The 24272-nt window shown below is 45.2% G+C and overlaps 1 protein-coding gene and 1 long non-coding RNA gene across 4 annotated transcripts in view, besides 1 other annotated feature; one reads left to right on the forward strand and one right to left on the reverse strand.

Annotated features, from left to right (window-relative positions):
* Positions 1-24272, reverse strand: part of OTUD7A (OTU deubiquitinase 7A) — a 395276-nt gene that overhangs the window by 30967 nt on the left and 340037 nt on the right. For 2 of the 3 annotated variants that reach the window (NM_001382637.1, NM_001329907.2), the window contains 2 exons: positions 20817-20944; positions 19985-20097 (listed from right to left, as the gene is read on the reverse strand). In NM_001382637.1, coding sequence (NP_001369566.1) covers positions 19985-20097; positions 20817-20944 — 241 coding nt within the window. The remainder of the gene's footprint in view (positions 1-19984; positions 20098-20816; positions 20945-24272) is intronic. The other variant, NM_130901.3, reaches the window with a different exon arrangement.
* Positions 16035-18815, forward strand: LOC105370753 (uncharacterized). The gene is made up of 3 exons (XR_932064.3): positions 16035-16120; positions 17337-17512; positions 18736-18815. It is a non-coding gene; the product is annotated as an uncharacterized LOC105370753 (long non-coding RNA).
* Positions 22114-22613: an enhancer, noted in NCBI's record as "H3K27ac hESC enhancer chr15:31820681-31821180 (GRCh37/hg19 assembly coordinates)". NCBI's record gives its function as "activates a minimal SCP1, AML or CMV promoter by ChIP-STARR-seq in primed H9 embryonic stem cells {active_cell/tissue: H9 hESC(primed)}" and the evidence as "EXISTENCE:reporter gene assay evidence [ECO:0000049][PMID:30033119]".

Raw genomic sequence — 24272 nt, forward strand, 5'->3', positions numbered from 1 at the left:
TTAAATTCATACTTACCAGAATAACGTGGACTTAAATTTTGCAGCTATTTGATTTTGTATTTTAAATTTATTTGAAATTTTTTTTACAGGATTTTAATAGCATTTATATAAACTTGAGGATTAAAGGACTTACAAGGAATTTTTTTTGGCCTGCGGTGTTTTGTTTTTATTTTTTTAGATTGATGAAATGCTAGAGTGAAGGACAGCTAACTGGATTAGTACTGTTTCAAATATTTGGCACAGCGTTTAGTAAAGGTCCTTTACAGTACTACCATATATTTGCTTGGGGATGGCTAAGCATGGATTGATGGGCGAGCTTTTGGAAAAAGCATTTTTTAAATGCTTTTAAGGAATATTAAATTTTTTTCTTGCCATGAGAGGCACAGTGTAAGTTTGGCATTTAGAAAAGGTGCAAGCTGGATTGTCCTCAGGGGCTGACCCGCACAGTGTTAAATTTTAGGAAATAGCAGAGAGAGCTTGGCATGATGGATTATTTTAAGCAGTGGGATTTTGAAAAAGAGCTACTATATAGTTTATATTTGGTTGATGAGGTGACCATTTAAGTGGAAAGGGGATAATTTGGGCCTCTGGAGTACCATGTGTACAAATGTAATAGTGTAATAATTGTTTTTAAAGTGTGAATGGAATATTTTAGCTAGGCATTTGTATTTTGATGTATTGTTTTGATGGCTAAGGTCTGTCTTTAATTTTTTATTTTTATAATAGGCATTCTACTTTTATTAGATGCAGGAGTAACTGGTGTCGGATTTAGAACTTAGGCTACTGAAGAAGGGGAAGATGGGGGAATAATGTGTATTTTAAAAATATTTAGGGTTTTTAAAAATTTATGTCAAATTTCTATATTATAGAAGTGATTAAGGGTAGGTTTAGAGTTAGTTAAGGTGGAGGTGGTGACAGAAGGACAGGGTTATATTGAGAAGGTTGGGTAGGTTTTTTAATGAAATAGATGAAGGGTTTTAGATCTGTATGTTTTTTTTGTGTGTGTGTGGAAGTTTAACTTTGCTCTTGAGTAATTTAAAGGACGTCGTTCCATTTATTATAAGGTTGTTAGGCTGTAGTGTATCCGGAGTTGGTTCCTTCCAGTGGCTTTGTGGTCTCACTGACTTCAAGAATGAAGTCGCGTGTTACACCTCTTAAGTGTGGCACGGACCCAAAGAGTGAGCAGCAGCAAGATTTATTGTGGAGAGAGAAAGAACAAAGGTTCTAAACCATGGAACAGGACCCGAGCAGGTTGCTGCCGCTGCTGGCTGGGGGGCGGGGGTGGCAAGCTTTTATTCCCTTATTGGCCCCTCCCATGTTCCATTTCTGTCCTATCAGAATGTCCTTTTTTCAATCTTCCCTGTCACTGGCTACTTTTAGGATTCTGCTGATTGGTGCGTTTTACAGAGCACTGATTGGTGTGTTTTACAGTCCTAGCTACAGAGTGCTGATTGGTGCATTTTACAATCCTCTTGTAAGACAGAAAAGTTCTCCAAGTCCCCACTCAACCCAGGAAGTCCAGCTGGCTTCACCTCTCAGTAGGAGCAGAAAATTGGCGTTTTGGCTGCAGGTGATTATAACAATAAGTGTTAGGGGTAATTGTGTTAATTAGAGGGCCAGGACATAAATATTTGTGTGAAAAGGCTAGCTGTCATTGATTTTTTAATATTTTTACAAGGTATGATAGAGCAAGCATTAAAGGCAATGGTTTGAGGTGAGTTAGATTTAGTTACATTAATAACAAGGGAGCTATAACAGAATAAGGAAAGGAAAGGAAGTAATAGAGAAAGTATATGAAAATTAAGCTTTTTAAAATTTTAACTTAGTAGGGCTTGATTTTAGTATAGTAACCTAAGATGTTTTCTTGATTTGAGTATAGTGGGTCCTTTTTTTCTTGGCTGTGTGGACAGGGGTCTTAGTGGTTAACAGCATAAAATAGGGTCCTTCCCAGGCTGGCTTGAGTTTTTTATTTTTTGATAAGGATGTGTTTTTGTTTTGTTTTGAGACGGAGTCTTGCTCTGTCACCCAGGCTGGAGTGCAGTGGCGCCGATCTCCGCTCACTGCAAGCTCCGCCTCCTGGGTTCACACCATTCTCCCGCCTCAGCCTCCCCAGTAGCTGGGACTACAGGCGCCCGCCACCACGCTCGGCTAATTTCTTTTTGTATTTTTAGTAGAGACGGGGTTTCACTGTGTTAGCCAGGATGGTCTTGATCTCCTGACCTCATGATCCGCCTGCCTCAGCCTCTCAAAGTGCTGGGATTACAGGCGTGAGGCACTGCGCCAGGCAAGAATGTGGTTTGTAGGCTGGTGCTGATGTACTAGAAATTTTAGGGTTGGTACCTGTGTTAAAAGATTTTTAGTTTTGAGGAAAGGGAAAGTGGAAGATAAATTACGTATATAATTTTTGTTGCGTATTCTGGGGCTTGAGGCCCCATGGTGACGTCTTCTGCTCCATTTCTGCTTAGCGTTGCCTAGGGGACATTGTGGCCCTGCCCCCTCTTAAGGTCTTGGCTTTTTTGTGGCCTTCACCGCCCCTGCGCGTTGTGGCCTTGGGGATGAGGGGCCTTGTGACTTATTCGGCCGCCCTCGGGCTTTGAGAAAGTTAAGCACTATTTTATATTTGATAATGCTTTTTGTATGATTTTATGTTTTTTAACATTAATGTGCTATTAATGTTAAACTTTATTTTAATAAAATTTTGAAGACATTATTTACTTTTAATGTCTGACTATAAGGTAAGGTTTTTATAGACTTTTTAAAACTTTTTATAATTTTTCTTAAAGAGCAGGTTAGTGCTTTAAGAAAAATTTATTGTGCTTTTATTTTAATGTTTAGTTTACAGAAAAATTGGATACCTCTTTAGCTAATATGTTTACATACAGAATTTTCTTTATAATTAATATTTTTAAATTTGTTTAAACTTTTTTTTTTGGAGACGGAGTCTTGCTCTGTTGCCCAGGCTGGAGTGCAGTGGTGCGATCTCAGCTCACCGCAAATTCCACCTCCTGGGTTCACGCCATTCTTTTGCCTCAGCCTCCCGAGTAGCTGGGACTACAGGTGCCTGCCTCCATGCCCGGCTATTTTTTTTGTATTTTTAGTAGAGATGGGGTTTCACCATGTTAGCCAGGATGGTCTTGATCTCCTGACCTCGTGACCGCCTGCCTTGGCCTCCCAAAGTGCTGAAATTATAGGCATGAGCCACCACGCCCAGCCTTGTTTAAAGTTTTAAAACAAAATTTTTTTAACCTTTTAATGTAGGTAAAAATTCATATTTTTATGTCTTTTTGTAATTTTATTAAAAGTATATATTTTTACATATTTTGTATATAAACTGTATAAACTGTTTTTTAAATAGTTTTACATTTAGGAGGCCTAATTACTTTTAAATTACGTAATATTTTTTGCATAAATTTTTTTTATAACTTTTTATGACTTTTATAGACAATTTTTAACATGTTTTAACGTTCTGCCTTTTACATTATTTCTTTTCCTAATTTTACCGTGTCTTTCTTTGATTTTTGTCTTTTCTAGTTATTTTTTTACTTTTTTCTATTTTTTTTTCTTATTTGCACTTTATTTTCCTTTTTTTTTAATTTGCATTTATTTTTCTCTCCCTCTCTGTCATTTTTTGTTTCCTTTTTTTTTCCCGGTCTTGCGGCGCAGGCTGGGCAAGGGACGGGCCCCGCCTGCATGTATGCGCTGCCGTCTGTTTCCCCTGTTTTTTTTTTTTTTCCCTGATTTATTTATTTTTTCTACACTTAGTTTTCTGGGCTGGGTGGGATTTGCATGGCTGTAGTCTTGGCCCCCGGCCGGCTGCAGTCCTGGCCCAGGGCCATCACTGGCCCACAGGCTTGGCAGACACCTGTCGTTAGTCGTAAGAGTTAGGTCCTTTCATCTTGTTGGCTTTTCTTTCTGCGACAGTCCCCGCTCTCTTTTTCACACAGAGCTCGGGTGGGGAGAGGGACTTAATTTTTGGTGTGCCTGGCTGTCTGGCGTCATGCTTGGTGTTTTTGCTTTTTTTTTTCCCCTTCCCCTAGAGGAGCGACTGGCAGGAGTGGAGCTTAGTCTTTTTTTTTTCCCCCAAGAAGAGGGGAAAGGGGAGTTTTGAATATATATATGTATGTATATCTATATGTAACATACATATATATGTATATCTATATGTAACATACATATGTATATCTATATGTAACATACATATGTATATCTATATGTAACATACATATGTATATCTATATGTAACATACATATGTATATCTATATGTAACATACATATGTATATCTATATGTAACATACATATGTATATCTATATGTAACATACATATGTATATCTATATGTAACATACATATGTATATCTATATGTAACATACATATGTATATCTATATGTAACATACATATGTATATCTATATGTAACATACATATGTATATCTATATGTAACATACATATGTATATCTATATGTAACATACATATGTATATCTATATGTAACATATATGTATATCTATATGTAACATATATGTATATCTATATGTAACATATATGTATATCTATATGTAACATATATGTATATCTATATGTAACATATATGTATATCTATATGTAACATATGTATATCTATATGTAACATATGTATATCTATATGTAACATACATGTATATCTATATGTAACATACATGTATATCTATATGTAACATACATATATATGTATATCTATATGTAACATACATATGTATATCTATATGTAACATACATATGTATATCTATATGTAACATACATATGTATATCTATATGTAACATACATATGTATATCTATATGTAACACACATATGTATATCTATATGTAACACACATACATATGTATATCTATATGTAACACACATACATATGTATATCTATATGTAACACACATACATATGTATATCTATATGTAACACACATATATATGTATATCTATATGTAACACACATATATATGTATATCTATATGTAACACACATATATATGTATATCTATATGTAACACATATATATGTATATCTATATGTAACACACACATATATGTATATCTATATGTAACACACACATATATGTATATCTATATGTAACACACACATATATGTATATCTATATGTAACACACACATATATGTATATCTATATGTAACACACACATATATGTATATCTATATGTAACACACACATATATGTATATCTATATGTAACACACACATATATGTATATCTATATGTAACACACACATATATGTATATCTATATGTAACACACACATATATGTATATCTATATGTAACACACACATATATGTATATCTATATGTAACACACATATATATGTATATCTATATGTAACACACATATATATGTATATCTATATGTAACATACATATATATGTATATATATTTTACTATCGGAGGTTTGTGTGAGGTTCAACTCCTCCCCCATGGGGATTTCTCACCTCTTTTTGAGGTTTAACCCCCGACAATGGGGATTTTTTACCTTGAGGCTTAACCCCCCCGCCCATGGGGATTTCTCACCTCTTTTTGAGGTTTAACCCCCACTCAGTGGGGATTTTTTTTACCTTTTTTTAACCTTTAAGACATCCTGGCTAAGAAATATTTTACCACCTCCCATGGCTTTTTGTGTCTAGTCCTAAGGAATGTTTTACTGCCCCTGCAGTTTCTCTCTCCTTGGTATGTTTTAACTAAGGAATGCTTTACTGCCCCGCAGCTTTTTCCTCAGTCTTGATTACTAAGGAAATACTTTACCGGTGTTTTTTCCTGGTGTTTTTTCCTCAATCTGTGCACAGTTTTCTGGTTCACGTGATATGTGAGGAATTGTTTTTTTTTTGCATTGCTGAGACTCTGAGTTTATTCCACATACCGGGTGGGTTTTGAGCTCTTATCCTTGAGGCCACTGCAATGTGGCAGAGGAGCACGCTCCCTTATGAGGAGGGACTGGAGACCACCCCCGGCAGAGAATGTATCCCCATACGGGTCACCAAAATTGTTTGAAATGTTTGTTTCCTGGTGTCGTAAAGCAATATTACTTGAATATAAATTTAATTTTTTTTAGCGAGGCCATTTTTTATTTTCTGTAGAAAGGGTGTACTTGCCAGCAGTTTTGTTATGAGAGTATATTGAATAAAGGAGACAGGGTCATTTATAACCTGACGTGTCCACCTTACTGATGTGTCTGGTTTTTATTGGCTGGAACGGGATTTTACATTTTGTATTTGTTTTGATTGGTTAGTAACTTAGAATTTTTTAAAAGAGGCAAATGCAGAGGAGAATAAAGGAAGGAGGAAGTAACTTGTGGAATGTTGAGAAAGGTAAAAATGCTTTTAAAGAAGGAAGAGGACCAGACTATGACTTAGTGCTTGCTTGGACTAGTATAAGTATGCAAGGCAAATATTTAGGTTAAATTGTGGGAGCTAAGAATATAAAGTATGTTGATTTTTTTATTATGGCTAGCAGATATTTAAGAATGTTAGCACAGGTCTTTGAATAAATTTTGCTTCTAAAAGAAGTTACTATTTATTTTTAACTAGATGGGGAGGAAAGTCTTTAAAGAAGAACCTCTATTTTACTTTTTACAAGCCTCAGCCTCCCAAGTAGCTGGGATTACAGGCATTTGCCACCATGCCCAGCTAATTTTTTTGTATTTTTAGTGGAGACGGGTTTTCACCATGTTGGCCAGGCTGGTCTCGAACTCCTGGCCTCAAGTGATCCACCAGCCTTGGCCTCCCAAAGTGCTGGGATTACAGGCATGAGCCACCACATCCAACCCAATTAACCTTATTTTAACAGTTCAAAAAATTGGCAGCAATCGAAACCTCACAAAATAGTTGCGCACATACAGTAAAAAGAGCTTTTGTTTCCCTGAACCATTTGAAAATAAACAGCCAACCTGGCACCCCATCACCCTGGAAAGTTCTTGCTCATTTTCTATGAACAGAACATCCTCCTACACAACCACCACACGGCTACCGACATCAGGAATTCACACAGTTACATGCAATCACCAGACCCCACGTGTGTGTGCCAGCTGTCCCAATAATGCCTTTTAGAACAAAGGTTCCTGCTCAGGATCAGGTGCTGCATTCAGCGGTGGCGTCTCCTTAGTCTCCTTCACCTGGAACATTTCTCAGGATATCCTTGACTTCCATGACCTTGACATTTTTGAAGATTACAGGTTGGGTATTTTGTAGAATGTCCTTCATAAGGGTTTCTCTGTTTCCTCACAGTTAGATTGGATTGGGTCAAGCTGAGTCCTTCTTGTGACATCTTATCAGGTTGTGTGAACTGCAGATTGTCCCATCACTGGTGAGGTTGTCCCATCACTGGTGAGGTTGACCTGGACCACTCCTTAAGGTCATCTTCCAGGCCTTGCCCCTGCAGACTACTAATTTTTCGTTTGAAATTAACAAGCATTTTGTGGAGAGGAACTTGAACCTATGCAAATACTCCATTCCTCACCAAATCTTTATAGGTTTATTGGTATCACTATGGATTTCTGGTTTTCCATTTTATTCAGTGGGTTATAATCCATTAGTGTGATTATGTGGATGCTCAGATACTCCTTGATGTGGTCAGTGTGGCTTCTCTAAAGCTGGATCTGTGTCCTTTTGACATCCTCATCATTTCTTTTTTTCTTTTCTTTCTTTCTTTCTTTCTTTTTTTTTTTTTTGAGACAGGGTCTTACTGTGTTGCCCAGGCTGGAGTGCAGTGGTGAGATCATAGCTCACTGCAGCCTCGAACTCCTGGGGTCAAGTGAGCCTCCCATTCTGACCTCCCAAGTAGCTGGGACCACAGGCCACCATTATGCCCAGAAAACTTTTTTCATTTTTGTAGAGACGGGGTCTCGCTATGTTGCCAAGGCTGGTCTCGAACTTCTGGGCACAAGTCATCCTTCTGTCTCAGCCTCCCAAAGTGCTGGGATTACAGGTGTGAGCCACCGTGCCCAGCTCCCATCATTTCTTAGAGCACTTTCTTGCTTCCTGGTGCAAAAAGATGGTTCAAGTTCACACTCACACATGGATACATATTTTTGCATGTTTATTTTCATCTTTCTCTCCCTCTCCATGTTTATTTTCATCTTTCTCTCCCTCTCAATATTTATAGAAAACCTTGAGTTCACTGATACCTCCAATTCCAATCCAACCCCACAAAGTTAATTCTATTTGCAACTTTCTTCACTTACTTTCAGAAAACTTGTTCGTATTCATTCTAAAGCATTTCCTTATTTGATCAGTCTTCCCATATGTCAGCCATCTCCCACCTCTGCTCCCCATCCGTGAGGTGGCCCTCTTCACCTGTGTGGCTGACATCTGGCTCTGGCCCCTGGTGTCCTCCCATCCCCCACCCACTCCAGATGCCACCTTGCTTTGCCCCACCTAATGGCTTTAGAACTTACTTTTTCAGCAAGGAAGGAAAGGGAAGTAGAAGAGGAATGTTTTAAATATGTATTGACATGAATACATATTCACACATACACACACATATATTTTATGCCAGGTCTAAATGCAGTGCTCCTGGGTGTGCATTTTGAAACACTGCAGGTGATTAGCCTGCCCAGCCACACCTGAAAGCCAAGCTGCAGTGCCTGGGGGGTCAAGTGCTTTTGGAAGTTGCTTGTTTGTCCCTGTCACCTAGTATGCGTTGAGTGCCGGCGAGTGAATGGTTGAACAACATAATGAACAGCACAGGGGGAGAGAATATGGAGTTAAAACCTGCATACTTGGAGAGAGAAATACCCCAGCTAGAAATGTGGAGCACTGTTCCTTCCCTAATTCAAGGAATGGAGGGGGCAGTGCTGGAAAGAGAGGAGCTGCTCTTGAGTCAGGTACTAATACTGAGAAGCGGGCAGAGCAAGGTGAATGGTAGCCCTCTCAGGCCTGGGTTCTGAGTCCCATCTTCACTTCCTGGCAGAACACTCTGGGATCTGAGCAGCTACACAGGAGGACCCCCATGGTAACAACAGCGTGAAGGCTCAGTATTGGGCACCTTTGTACTGGCACAGCATTCTCCTCATGCAAAACTTAAAGCAGGGCCATCATATTTCCAACCAAAAAACCAATAAATATTCATTGAGCACTTACTATACACTGGTGCTGTGAAAGGCACTGCAGAGGCCCTCAGAGAACTCTGCCTTCATGTAACATCTACCAACCTATCCATCCTTCTTCCTATCTATCTATCCATCCATTCATCCATCTATCCATCTACCCACCCACCCACCCATCTCTCTTCCTTCCCTCCCTCTCTCTCTTCATCCATCCATCTATTGATCCACCCATCCACTTGTCCATCCATCCATCCATCCATCTGCTGTCTGTGCATCCATCTGTCCATCCATTCATGCCATCCACCCACCCACCCACACAACTGTCCACCCAACCACCCATCCACCTGTCCATCCACCCACATGTCCATCTATCCATCCATCCATCCATCTGTCCATCCATTCATCCATCCATGCCATCCACCCACCCATACACCTGTCCACCCACCCACCCATCCACCTGTCCATCCACCCACATGTACCTCTATCCATCCATCCATCCATCCATCCACCCACCCACCTACGCACGCATCCATCCATGTACTCATCCTTCAATTCTTCCATTCAACCATCTATCTGCCCAAGCACCTACTTGTCTGTCCATTCATCTACCCGTCCTTCAAGTTCTGTGCTAGGGCAAAGGCATGGAGTTGGACCATGCCCAGCATGGAGCCTCCTGGCAGAACACTCTGGTATTTGAGTAGCTATGCAAGAGGGCCTCCAAGGTAACAACGGTGCAAAGGTTAAGTATTAGGCACCATTGTACTGGCATGGCATTCTTTTCATGGCTAACTTAAGGCAGGGCCATTTTATTTCAGCAGCAATGATAGGATGGCGGGCCCAGTTGAGAGGTGATGGAGGACAGCTGGAGCAGAGCAGCCTTTCTCCATTCCAGTTTTGGTGTTGAGCATGGGAGCCATGTGAGCAACTGAAACCTGCTCAGTGACCCAGGGGGTGGCGGAGAGGATCCCAGCTCCAGCGGGGGGCAGCCTGAAAATCATAATGATGTTCCCTACTTGCTTCTGGCTCCTTGTCCAAGACTTAGGGAGGGTCCTGGTTCTATACCAGGAGCCTCAGTGTTGAAGGCAGCCAGAGAGCACCTGAGGGTGTAGAGGGTGTAACAGAAACAAAACAGCAGAGGTTGCTGCCTGGGCATTAGAAGTAGAACACCACACCCAAAGACCCAAGCTGGTGGCCAGAGATAAGAACTTAGAGGCGACTCTCTGCCTAGCAGACTGGGCTTTCCACTTTCCCACCACTTCCTTTAAATGGACCATTCAGACATTTGCCCATGAACTTAAAGTGACCCACATCCTATTCCCCTATATATATTTCTAGTTGGATCTCTCTGCCTGAATCTTAATCCCTGCCTCAATGTGACCCTGGGATGGAGCACTGCCCTCCCAACTCATGATGGCCTCCATGCCCAGGATCTATAAGTAAAAACCTTTGAACTTGCTTCCCATTGTGGCGGTGGATTGAATTTGCACCTTCCTTTGGAAGAAGCAGAGGCTACCCCAGGCCATGTTTTCACCAGACGCCAAGGAGAACACAAGGCTGGTCCCAGCCACAGAGCGATGGTCAGGTAAGAAAAAACTAGACACAGGCCAGACAGGAGCCACAAAGCCATCTGCCAGTACAAACAAGCTTCCCATGTGAGGGACATGGGTCATGGGTTAGGCAACCAGGCATTAGGACACCTGCCAGGTAAGAGAAGTATCCCATGAAAGGCACACTGTAAACGCCTATGTCCAGGTCCCTTTTCATTTCTCCTTATTGCAGGTTTTCTAGCTGCTCTGGTACTGGAACTCCAATTTAGCTGGGGGCTCTAAAATGAAGGGCAAACAAGATCTTATCTGGGACGAGAGTTTGGAACTGTGACCTGCACTCTGTGACCAGAGCCCATTGGTAGAAATCAGTTTCAGAAAAACCAATTCTGAAAATTCACTCCCACTTTTAGCCCTGAGACTTCATGTCTTCTTCTTGTGAGTTTGCTGAGCAAATGCGAGATCTGGGATTGTGGGGAGAATCTGGCCACTGGGCAAAGACATAACAATTCCTAAAATGCTTAAAAATCAGTGCTTACTGCAAAGAAGACTGACATGCAATATAATGACTTCATCCTCCAAGATGTGCATGTCCTGAGAACTTCCTAACATGCTTTGGGCCCCACACACTGAGTTCTCCAGGGCACCTACATCTGCTTCTCCAGTGGGTACTTGAGGAGGGAGAATTTCCAGGGTTAGGGATATACCGTCTACCCAATGAAAACACCCTGAGAAAGATGGGGGTGGGCAGAGGCTGAGGAGTCCCTCCTGGCAGGACCAAGAAGCAAAGGTCATGGAGCAAGGTCCAGATGGTATCTCAGGCCCCAGGGAACAGTTTGGGGGCACCCTGGCTTAAGCTGTAGCCACCATCCTTGGAGACCATCCTCGGCAAGAGCGCGTGTCATAGATAAGGAAGCCAGTCTGGGGCCGGCAGGTCTTGTTAAAGGGCAGTCACCCAGCCACCCAGACGGAGAGCCTGGATGAAGCCTCCCAGGTCCCTCCCCATATCCCCTCCTCCAGATGGGGTGTCCACACCTCCTGTTTTGCTTGGGAAAGTCCTGTTCACACATCCCAAGTGGTTAGTGCCCACTTTCCTTCCCCCAAATGAACCAGTTTGGATGATAAATTGTAGTCACCTCACCTATGGGGACATAGGTGTTGGTTTTTGGTGTACCCTTCCATAAAAAAAGTAAGTGCAAGGCCAGGTGTGGTGGTTCACACCTGTAATCCCAGCACTTTGGGAGGCCGAGGCGGGTGGATCATGAGGTCAGGAGATCGAGACCATCCTGGCCAACATGGTGAAACCCTGTCTCTACTAAAAATACAAAAATTAGCCAGGCATTGGTGGCTTGTGCCTGTAGTCCCAGCTACTCGGGAGGCTGAGGCAGGATCATCGCTTGAACCCAGGAGGTGGAGGTTGCAGTGAGCCGAGATCGCACCACTGCATTCTAGCCTGGGTGACAGAGCGAGACTCCATCTGATTAAAAAAAAAAAGTAAGTGCACATCTGTGTGCACACACGTATGAATGTGAGTAAATGCGCATAAACTGTATGCACACATCCTCCCACCTCTAGGTAGCATGTTTATACTCACTAGTCCAACCACTGCCTTTTCCTCCTCCTGATGCATCCTGAGACACCCACAGCACAGTAGGTGGGGATGGTCCTTACTCCTTTTCACAGGTGCAAGGTTCTCCTCATGCACAGATCTCATGGGCAGCATTTCTGAGAGGTGTGCCTCAACCCCTCTCTCAGGTAGGGCCCTGCACAGCAGAGCCAGTCTGAGGAGGCTCAAGGGGCTGAACCCAGCCTATGTCCTGCTGTGGGCCTTTGCCCCTGGTCAAGGACTGTGCCTGCCCAGACAGGCACCTTTTACAAAAGACTCTCCAAAGGCACAGTACAGGCTAGCAGGGACTCTGCTAAGAGCTATGGCCTGGGAAGCTGAGATGGAAGGACGGGGGCCTCCCAGTGCTTCGAAGGGACTGAATGGATCTTAGGCTCTGAAAGACCTTCTAGCAGTGGCCAGTGTGGCTTGAGGAACAAGACTTATTGCTTAGGATCAATAAGCTGAGGTCAGTCATGTGACAAATAGTTACTGATTATCCACTACAGGTCTAGCACTGTGCTGTGTGTGTGTGTGTGTGTGTGTGCACGCACGCGCACTCACACTTGCCCATGTGTGCCCATGAATGCAGGTTTAGGTAGGGAGAGATACTAACACATGATCAAATAAGAAATTATCAGTTATTTTTCTGCATCTATCAAGATGATCATATGGTTTTTGTTCTTAATTCTGTTTACGTGATATATCACATTCATTGATTTGTGTATGTTGAATCATCCTTGCATTCCTGGGATAAATCCCACCTGATTATGGTGTATTATCTTTTCGATGTCCTGTTAGATTTGATTTGCTAGTATTTTGTCAAGGATTTCTGCATTCAATACAATTCAGCATCACTTCATGATGAAAATCCTCAACAAACTAGGCATAGAAAGAACATACCTCAACATAATAAAGGTCTTCTATGACAAACCCACAGCTAACAGCATACTTAATGGGGAAAAGTTGAAAGCTTTTCCTCTAAGGACTGGAACAAGATGAGGATGCCCACTTTTACCACTGTTATTCAACATAGTACTGGAAGTACCCACAGCGCAGTCAGGCAAGAGAAAAAAACAAAAGGCATCCAAATTGGAAAAGAAGGAGTCAGATCATCCCTGTTTGCTAGTGATATGATTTTATAATTAGAAAACCATAAAGACTCTACCAAAAACCTGTTATATTTGATACACAAATTTAGTAAAGTTTCAGGATACAACATTAACATAATGAAAGCAGTAGCATTTCTATATACCAGTAACAATCTAGCTGAGGACTAAATCAAGAAGGCAATCCCATTTAAATTAGCTACAAAAATATCGAGGAATATATTTAACCAGGGATGTGAAAGATCTCTATAAGGAGGACTACAAAATGCTGAAGAAAAAAATTGTCAATGACACAAATGAATGGAAAAACATCCCATGCTCATGGATTCCAAGAATCAACATCATTAAAATGACTATATTGCTACAGTAATCTACAGATTCAATACAATCCCTATCAAGTTACCAATGTCATTTTTCACAGGATTATAAAAAACAATAAATTTCATATGGAACTAAAAAGGAGCCTGTCTAGCCAACGGAATCCTAAGCAAAAAGAACAAAGCTGAAGGATAACATCATCTAATTTCAAATTGTACTACAAGGTTATAGTAAACAAAACAGTATGGTATTGGTACAAAAACAGACACATAGATCAATGGAACAGAATACATAACCTATAAATGAAGCCACATACTTATAACCAACTGATCTTCAACAACACCAACAAAAATATACACTGGGGAAATGACACTATTCATTTTGCGTCATTCACTATTTAGTGTTGGGAAAATTGCATAGCGATATGCAGAAGAATGAGATTGGACCCACACTTCTCACCATATATAAAAATTAACTCAAAATGGATTAAAGACCTAAATGTAAGACCTGAAACTATAAACATTCTACAAGGAAACCTATGTAAAACTCTTTTGGACATTGGCCTATGCAAATAATTTATGACCAAGTCTTCAAAAGCAAATGTAACAAAAACAAAAATAGATGTTGGTGAGGATATAATGAAAAGGGAACACATGCTGTTGGTAGGAATGTAAATTCATACAACCTTTATGGAAAACAGTGTGGAGATTTCTCAAAGAACTAAAAATAGAACTACCACTCAATCCAGCAATCCCACTACTAGGTATATACCCAAAGGGAAATGAATCATTCTATCAAAAAGATACCTGCATGTTTACTCTAACACTATTCACAATGGCAAAAAGATAGAAACCACCTAAGTGTCCATCAACGTAGGATTAGATAAAGAAAATGTATATATATACCATGGAATATGACTCAGCCATAAAAAAGAATGGAATCCTGTCTTTTGCAGCAACATGGATGGATATGGAAGCGATTATCCTCAGTGATATAACTCAGAAACAGAAAGTCAAATACTGCATGTTCTCACTTATAGCTGGGGGCTAAACAACGCGTACATATGGACAGGCAGAATGGAATAACAGACACTGGAAGCTATGACAGGCCGGAGGGTTCGCGGGGGTGAGGACTGAAAAATTACAATGTTCACTACTTGGGTAATGGGTACGCTAAAATCCCAGACTTTACCACAATGCAATATTTGCATGTAAGAAACCTGCACTTGTATCCCCTAAACATATTTAAATAAATAATAAAATAATAAAAAACTCTCAGTAGAGTGATAAAAGGTGGATTCTTTAGACAGGAAGATCAGAGAAGGCTCCTACTTGAGAACCATCCCTAGATAGTCAACTTTGGTCTTATTTTCAATTAGAAATGTCTTTAAAAATTTGAGCCGGGTCCCACATCTGCAAAGTGAGGACACCTTACGTTAGCAGATGCTCTTTCTGCTTGGTCTGCTGGTGGAAGTCATGGCACCTTCAGGAATACACATAAGAATGCCTCCTTTCCTTCACAAGGCCAGCCCATGGCCCGGGAGCACCAGGCTGTGGTGTGGGCATCTCCCAGGAATAAAATGCCTCTTGCTTTTCCTCAAAAGACTGACTGAAATTGACAACTCTCAGACTGTGTGCTAGGAAATCACTTGGGATTCTAGCTACTTCCGAAAAAAGCTAATAAAAAGAAATGCAGCAAACACATTGTCAGTGAAATTTCAGAAACTCAACTACAAAGAGAAAGCAGAGAGGTTAGCATGTGAGAAAAGTAAGGACCTAGACAGAAGATGCCCCCGGGGGCTGCCAGAGGGTCCCCCAAACGGTCCCTCTTGCTCTGCTCTCTTCTCCTCTTTGTCTGTCGGACTGGCCTCTCAGCTTCCACTTAGCCCTTCTCATCAAACAGAAAACAAATAAGTAGTTCTTTTAAAAGTTTAAAGAACAAAAATGATTATTTTCACCATAGTCAAGATAAGTTGTTGATTCCTACTCCTCATGCCTGGTCTGCATTTGTCAAGAGTGTGGGCTTAGGTTTCTTTGGTCAGTTCTAAGTTCAGGTTCTGGCTTTGTGTCTTTCAGGCTGTGGGACATTGGAAGCTAACCTGTGATGGTTAGATAGCTGGTTAAACGTTATTTCTGCATGTGTCTGTGAGGGCATTTTGGGTGAGATTAGCATTTGAATTGCTGGAGAGCAGAAAGCAGAGGGCTTTCACCAATATGGGTGGGGCTCATCTGATCTATTCATGATGGGAACAAAACAGTGGCGGAGGGCGGAATAACCAAACCTGTTTGAGCTGGGACATGGACTTTCTGCCCTCAGCACTCCTGGTTCTCAGGCCTTCAGATTCAGACTGGATCCACACCATCAGTTCTCCAGCTCTTGGGCCTTCGTGTTACACCACTGGCTTTCCTGGGTCTCCAGCTGGCACATGCCAGATCGTGGGAATTCTCAGACACCATAATCACGTGAGCCAATACCTACATTAGATCTCTTTATATGTATGTCTTTTATTGGTTCTGTTTCTCTGGAGAACCCTAATACATTATCTAATTCTCTGAATCTCAGCCTCCTTCTCTGTGATTGGTGATGATAATGACAGCTCATAGGCCTGCCTGACACATAACATGGGCTCAGTAGATGACACTGTTCACATTCCCATCTGACCTCACTAATCCCTCCCCAAGCCCTAGGGAAGGCCTGGTTCTTCCACGTGGCCGGGGCCTGGCCACTGTGAGTCCTCCTGGGAGGCACAGTGAGAGGAAGCAGGTCTAGCTCACACCCACACCTGGTCTCTGGTCCCTGCTGACCTCTTCAGATACGTGACATAGTTGCTTTCTGGGAAAGTAACAAGTTTAAAATGACTCCAGGCCATCATCTGTGTCAAGGACCAATAGTACAGGGGCTGCCCCATCTGTCTCCATACCAGGGGCTCCCAGAGCAGGATGCAGGGCCCGCACTGCACCCTTTACCCTCATCCGTGGGGAACAGGTTCTGGGAAACCCAGGCTGGGATGAATAAAGCCACCTTAGTTCTTCTCGCCATCATGCCTGCAAACTCTCCCTTGACTTGCTCTTTCCTATTCCCGGGTGGCACCCTGGAAATTTTGTGTGGTTCTTCTGGTTACTTTCCTGTGCAGGGGGCTATCAGCCCCAAGCTTGAGCCTCCTGAAAGACTGGGTTAGCTTCCAGCTGGCTTCTCTGTTTCACCTTTTGCCTCCTCCCCTTCTCTGGCTGCTGTCTGTGTCCCCTGTGGGGCCGGCACAGGCAGGGAGGAGGGGCAGGAGGGTGGCAAAGTCTTTCTTGCTGTCTTCCTTCAGGGCCCGCTGGGCTCGCTGGAGGTCCCAGTGCTGACCTGCTGTCTGAGGAAGTGCTTTTTTTGGGTCTTCAGAGCTCTCTGCCAGTTGAGGGGCTGTGTCCTTAGGTCCCTGGGCTGCAGTGGTGGCTCCTCTCACTGACTACTCGTGTCCACCCTCAGCCCTGGCCTCAGGGGCTGGTCTTCTGTGTGGTCCCCACCATAGATGAGTCCTGAAGCCAGCCCGCTTGGGGCCTCCTCCCTGAATCCATGCCTGGACCTCGGGCAGCTCGCAGCATCCTGGCCTTACATCCCCTACGGCCCCATGTCCTGGCCTGTACAGCCCACCACAGCCCTGTGAACCCTGAGCTCGCCAGTTTCTGCCTTCAGGTGCTTCAGTCAGGTGTCAGAAACTCAACCCTGCAGCCCTCAAGCCCCAGAGATGATGCCCTACACCTCTCAGCTCAACATGGGGAGAGAAGACACAGGCAAAAGGCAGAGCAACTGTGCTTGTGCACAAAGGCCTCTCTTGTGGACTCTGAACCCCAAGTGAATTCTTGGAGCAGGTGAGCTCTGGAGCACCCTGTTGGCGAGTCCTGCACAGCTGCACGGGTGCCTTGCTGAGGCGCTCTCTGTCCGTTACCCCAGTCCATGGGACTCAGCCAAAACTCCCCATTCCCAGGAAAATGTTTTATGCCTGGTTCCAAAGGCCTCCCTCCTTGACTGGCCATGCAAAGGTTCCAGGTAACCCAAGGAGGCATCTGGCTACAGAAGCAACTCTGTTTGGTAGATTCCTATTGCATATGCTCTGTCCTCTTCTGAGTTTTTTGTTTTTTTTTTTCCCTTTTTCTTTCTCCACTGGAAACACCTGTTGCTGAAACCCTAGAAATGCCTCCTGCATCACTGGCACAGGATTCTGACCTGAGCATCAGTGGCATCTGTGGGGACCAGGTGGCTGTGTCCTTTCTACAGACTGCTGTATTTGAGGGATTTTGTTAGGCTGTAGAGCCTGGTCAAAAGAGGAGACTTAATGATCAGACCAAATTTTGACTTTTTGGCTCCTTCCATTTATCATTTTTGTGGGGTCTTGGAACAGTTACCTAATCCCATTGAGGCTCAGTTTTTGAATCTGTGGAAGGGGTACTGGAGGCTTGTGAGGCAGAGTTTGAAAGGAGGGGAGAGAGTGCCTAGCACAGGGCCCTCTTATGGTCTCCCCGACCCCACCCCACCCCACCTGTGCTCGCCTCCCTCCTTCCGTTCCCCCAACACCACCCATACCTTCCTGCCTCATCTCTCCATTCTTTCCTGATGGGGTCACTCCCATCCACCCTTGGTTGTTTAGTTTCCCCTCTCTGGCCATTCCCCGGGTTCTTCCTTCTCTTTTGTGATGTGGCAGCCAGAACTATGGCTCCCAGGGGCAGGGGACCAGGCTATCCTACATAAATGGGACAATGTCTGGGCCATTTTGGATATTCCTAAAGGGACCTAATCCTTTTGTTAGATTAAGGTTGATCACTCAGACTCTGTGGGAGATAGGGACAGACACCAAGTGGCCCCTGTGTCCCCATTAGCATCTGAATCCCTCGGGCCCCAGGGAGCAGGCAGCAGGGTACCAGACTGTGGCCTTAGGAGTCAGATGGGCTGACTAGCCATGAGACCTTGGGCGAAGCTCCTCCTGGATGGGGGTACTCAGGAGATGTGTATGTGATGGTCACCTGTGATTGATTTTCACCCACTATCAAAGTCATCATTGCTGCTGTCTTTCCCCACTCCTCCCTGTCCCTGGCAGAGACACCTGGCCTGGATCCAGTCTGCCAGCACCTATCAGGCGTCCTCCCTGTGGCAGGAGGGAGAGAGGCAACTGTGAAAACGATGTCGAGGAACACTTAAGACCCATCACAGGCAGGACTCGGGAGGCGTGCAGAGGAAGAGAGCAGTTTTCCACAGTCGACTGAGTCTTCAGAATGCTTGTCCTCAAATGTCCTGCCAAGATAGACTGTTGGTATGGACATAACATAGCCTTAAAACACAGTGACAAGACAGCCCTGGAGGAAGGGTGTGCCAGCGTATGTGGGTTTCTAATGATTTCATCTTCAAACATGGTCTTGGACGCCACTGCTGCAGCTGCAGCTCTGTGGGAGCCTCTTTTCCAGCCGGGGCCTCCAGGGAGAGCTGGCCCATGAGGCACTAGGCCCTGCCTTGGTGGGTGGGTGAGGACCCAGTTGCCCGCTGCAGGGCCCATGAGCCTGAGGGCAGCCTGGAGCTGCATGCAATCCTCCTTCCATGGGTCTCCCTGGTGTTACTGCTCACACTTTCTCATGTTTGGCTGAGACCTTCTCTAGGAGCAACACCTTTGCTTTCAGGTTCCAGAGAATATGAACTGAAGAATAAGCCGCGGCCAAGGCTCTATGGCTGCCCCACTGGTCTGGCCACGGTCTTCATTCCATACTAGAACATCCAAGGTGTTTCTGTAGGAACAAGCTATTCCTAAACATGCACAGATGTGAAGTCTTTTTGCTGGGAACACATATAATATCCATGGAGCCCATCTGGGAAACACCAGGCTAGCTTAATGAGCTTCTGCTTTCAGGGCAACTTCTTGAAGCCACAAATTAATTAGTTGGGGGAGAAAACCCAAACTTCAGAGCCAGGTTCGTGCGATGGCAATGTGTGGGAATGCTCACCATCACGTGTGACCTCCAGAGGCCTGCTGTGCCCTGAAGGCGCACACCCCAACTGTTGTGCACAATAAAGTTCAAGGAAAGTGGCCTGGAGGCAGCTCATGTGAGCTCACCTCTGCCTGCATAGTGCATGTGGGGGCTGCATACCCTTCCACTAGCACCTGGCGGGGCCAGCCATCACCCACGGTCCTCCCGTGCGTCCTTGTCTTGAAGCTAATGCTGGAAAGCTGGAATCTTTCTGTCTTCCACAGCACAAGAGTCCCACATTCCCCCCCGTGCCATCCCCCCATGCTGTGTGTAGCCCTGGGTGGCCTGGAGCTGGAGGTGACTTCTGGGGAGAGCAGGGGCAGCACTTACCCCCCGCCCGTGCCGCCATTCTTGCTGAAGTGTGTGCGCGGCTCGCTGGAGGCCAGCTTCAGCAGCTCCGTCCACTCCCGCTCCCACTCCTCCTCTGTGTACACCAGCCCTGACTGGCAGAGGGGAGCCGGCTCAGAAGGGGGGTGGGCCACAGCTGCGCTGCCCTCCTCTCCTCACCCTCCCAATCTGGACCAGCCTCACCGGGACCCAGGCCAGGCACATCTGTAGGTAGCTACCAACTATACCAACTGCACCCTCTTGGCCACCTTTGCTATGCACAATATATTTTCAGAAGCCCCAAGCTCTAATTCCAGAGCTGCTGGGAATCTGCCCACCAACAAGGGTCATTCTCAGGGGCTGGGGATGACCGAGCATTAACCTGTGCCTGCACCTAACTGGGGCTGGCCGTTCAGATTCTTCTAGGAGAGCAAGGTCCTCATGTTTACCATGGTTGGGGACAATCGGGAATCCCTTTGGACTGAGCTCACACACAGGGGCTGGGGCCATGGGCTGCACCTGACAGCAGGCAGTCATATATATAATTCATCATCCAAGCCAGGATGCTTTTGGGAATGAAGGTAGGCAGCTTTCATGATTATGCCTTAAGGAAGCACAAGTGGACGCATAGTTGCTGTCTGCCGGGACTCTGCTATTTTAACAGGCTCCTCCTCTGTGGGCTTAAAAGCAGGAGACTTTCCTGATCCCAGGGGCTGTTTCTGCCTTCCCCTCATAAGACTGTCTGGGGCCTGGAGGCCATGCTGTGGACTCGACCACGGCCCGAGGCTGCATCTGGCCTGGGTCCCGGGCTCTGGCCATGCCAGTGGATACCAACCTCCTTATTCTGCTGCGTCTGCTGCCACCTCCACCTCCGCTTCAGGGCTTCCCTCTCAGCTCCCGTCCTCATCATGGTATAGAGAGCTTTCCGTAACACCAGGTCCCGGTCGTGAAACCCCCACATTCCTGGAGCCAGGAGGCCAGGGAGAACAGAGGAGAGAAAGGACATGAGAAAAGACAAGCCAGAGGTGATGCAAACTACCACGACCCACTGGGAGAGCCTCCTGTCTGCACGCAGAACAGCCTCCTTACTCAGCGGTTCTGTTAATTCCCCTCCAGCCTTCTTCCTGAGGCTTCCCATTAAGGCAACTAGGTGAATGAAGCAGCACATCCTGTTCTTAGCAAAACAATAGTGGGTGAAAATCAAGTGCTTTTCCTCTCTGGTGCCCTTGGCAACCCATTCTCAATGTTGCTGGTTTGCTTTGAGGACCTAATGGTCATTATTCAAGTCTTACATTTGGGTGGGGGACTGACTAGGGGACAGGGACAGGCTGTCCAGTGTCCTTATGGAGGGCTCCAGGTGAGGGAGGCCATTAGCATCCTGGCTTCTCCAGGGTCTGCCATTTCCCTCCTCTCCAGCCCTGAGGCATCTCAGCTTCCTGAGAAGCAGAGCGTCAGTGACACCACTGCACACACCTGGCCCAGGAGAGAGCGCCTGCTTCCTAGTGAGAGGGTCTCACCCTGTGCCAGGTGCTGAGAGGATATAGAGAGAAACCAGCCATCTCTGAGAATGTGCTCTGGGCAGCTTAGATGTGATCAAGAACCCCAACTCATGGGAGAAGTGCTCAAGAGAAGGGCAGCTCTGGCTACAAGGGAAAACACAGGGGAATCCATCCATCCATCCGTCCATCCAGCCATCCACCCACCCACGCACCCACTCACTCATTCTAGGTGCTGGGAATATATGTGGCAGTGGCCGGGACACATGAAGTTCCTAAAATCTCATGGAGCACATGTTGTGGGGAAGTGGGAAGTGAGGATAGCCACGAGGCTGGCACAGAGTGTACGATGTTGAGGGTGGCAGCCCCACGAGGAGAGGTGAGGCAGGCAGATCTGCTGTGGCGTGAATGGAGACATAGGAGCAAAGGCTCAAATGGGTGGAGGAAGGAGCCAAGTTGCTGTCCCAGCACAGGGAAAGGCCAGGGACAGACCCAGAGGGGGCAGTACTTGAGAAAAGGCAAGAGGGAAAGGTGGCTAAAGTGGGATCGAGGAGAGAGGGAGAGTGAAAAGGGGGCTCTCGAGGGAACTGTGAGCCTCTGGAGAGTCTACAGAAGGAGAGTAATGTGAACTGATGTTTTCAAAGGCTCAACTGGCTGGGCATCTTTGGATATGCAATAGCCCAGGCCTGCCACAGGCTTCTAGCCAGCAAGGCTTCGCCTTTTTCTATAGGATGGCAGGGGAGGGGGAATGACCACTGTCACTCCTCGCTCATCCTCAGACCTCTTTCAGCTGCCTTCTGGGACTCTCCCACAGCTCCTTGGGCAGGTCTCTCTTGCAGAGATGGCCTCCTTGTCCTGCATATATCTGCCTACAGGCCTGACTCCAAGATGACTGTCATTTCTATATGTGCCCCACAATCCTAGCTCAACGTCAGGCCAGGCCAACAGGGGTTCCACAAGGACTGCTGGTGAATGTCATGTGGCAGCTTTGGGCAGCCCCAGTCCTGCGGAGTTTAGCTATATGGGCACAAAATGAAACAAAGTGCTGGGATAAGAGGACAGATTGCTATGAGCTCTGGGCTTATTGTTGTACAGGGGATTCTTGGAGGGGGGTCTCACAGCCCTGGTCAGTCATGGCCCAGGCTCTCTTGCAGATGGAAATGACCAGCCTGAGGGAGGCTCTCTCTTCCCAGGCAGGCCTGGGAGGCCCACTGTGCTCACAGGGAAAATGCTGTGGGGTGTGGCCTTGCCCCGCTGTTGTGCTGATGGGGACAATGACTCTACATGCTGCAGTTGCTGAGGGACAAAAACATTTCCATGCCCCAGACTTCACAATGAGGCTGCTGTTTGACACAGATGAGAGATTTATTCTTTTAGATTCTTTCTCCAGGTTTTAGAAAGAACAAGGCAAAATATGCTCAATAACAGGGGAATAGTTAATGTTATCCACTATGATAAAATAAGACCCAACTACTTAAAATCATGTGTTTGAAGGATAACAGCAGGGAAAATTCTCAGATTGTAAGGGAAAATGTTGGATTCAAGACTGTGAACACAGCAAGATCATCATTTCACCTGAAGAACAGACAAAAGACCGGAAGATGATGACAATACCAAACTGTTAAGAGTGGCCGCCGCTGGGTGGGGGTCGCTGATTTTCATTTTCTCACCATGGTGAATGTGGAGTACTTTTGCAATGCCAACAAGCAGAATGTGCTCCAATGACATGGAGATGAAGCAGGTAAGTGGCTGCCTTGCCTTTCCTCACTGCAGGTCAAGCCTGGGGAATGCTTCCCTTGTTCTCCATCCTCCTCTGGAACCCTTCAAGACCCTGATGTATTTCCCTTGAAGCCCTTTACAGTCTTATCTCACCTACCTCTTGCTGAATAGGCCTCACCGCAGGTCCAAAGAGAGAGAGGTCTGGGGGCTGGCCCTTGATGTAGGTCATGGCACCCAGTTAAAGCCATGTTTGTTGGGGATGCAAGTTTGACAAACAAGGACTGCATTCCTGTGTGAGGGTTGTGTGTTTTGGAGAGGCGCTATCCTCCAGGGCGGGTAAGAACCAACCGGCCCTGATGGTCCCTGGTGCAAACCCAGACTCACCTATCAAAATGGATTCAGCCTTGTGCATATAACGCTGGGCCTAAAGGGATAACTGAGGTTCCAGAAAGTCGATGATGATCCTCAATTATCCAAATATTTCTGTGTTGTGTGGCTTTGTGTGATCGGGAAGCTCACGTCTCTATTGGACAAGTGTGCTGATCTCTCTGTGGTATATTCTGACTATGCTGACTCCCCTGTGATTTATCTGAGCAGTACCTACGTCTGTTTCCATTAGTCCATGCCAACTGTTGACTGCTGTCAACATAGTGGACCCTCATTTACCCAACCTCATGCACTGCTCCCAAAACTTCCTACTCCAGCTTTACCTCGTTCACCCCTACCTCCAAACACCCTGTCCATTCCTGCCTTTATGCTTTATCTGCAGGGTCTCCCTGCCTGCAATGCCCTCTTCTAGTCTCTCAAGTTCTTCAAGTTTCAGTAAAGATCCCACCTCCTCCCAGGAAGTCCTTTTTATTTGTACCAGGCGACGGTCTCTAAGTCCCATCCCTGCAGCTATGCTCAAGGCCTCCTTCTATCACGCCAGGTCTTTTCTTATGTGTGTTCTGTCTCTCCAGCAAGTGCTACTTGACAAGAAGGGCCAGGATTGTTGGCTCTGTCTCCTGGGGACTTTCTCATGACAGTGACATGGGTGACTCTATTTAGTGTATGCTTTTCCTTCAATAGTGTTTCCT

This window comes from Homo sapiens, chromosome 15, assembly GCF_000001405.40.
Source record: "Homo sapiens chromosome 15, GRCh38.p14 Primary Assembly".
Taxonomy (NCBI): domain Eukaryota; kingdom Metazoa; phylum Chordata; class Mammalia; order Primates; family Hominidae; genus Homo; species Homo sapiens.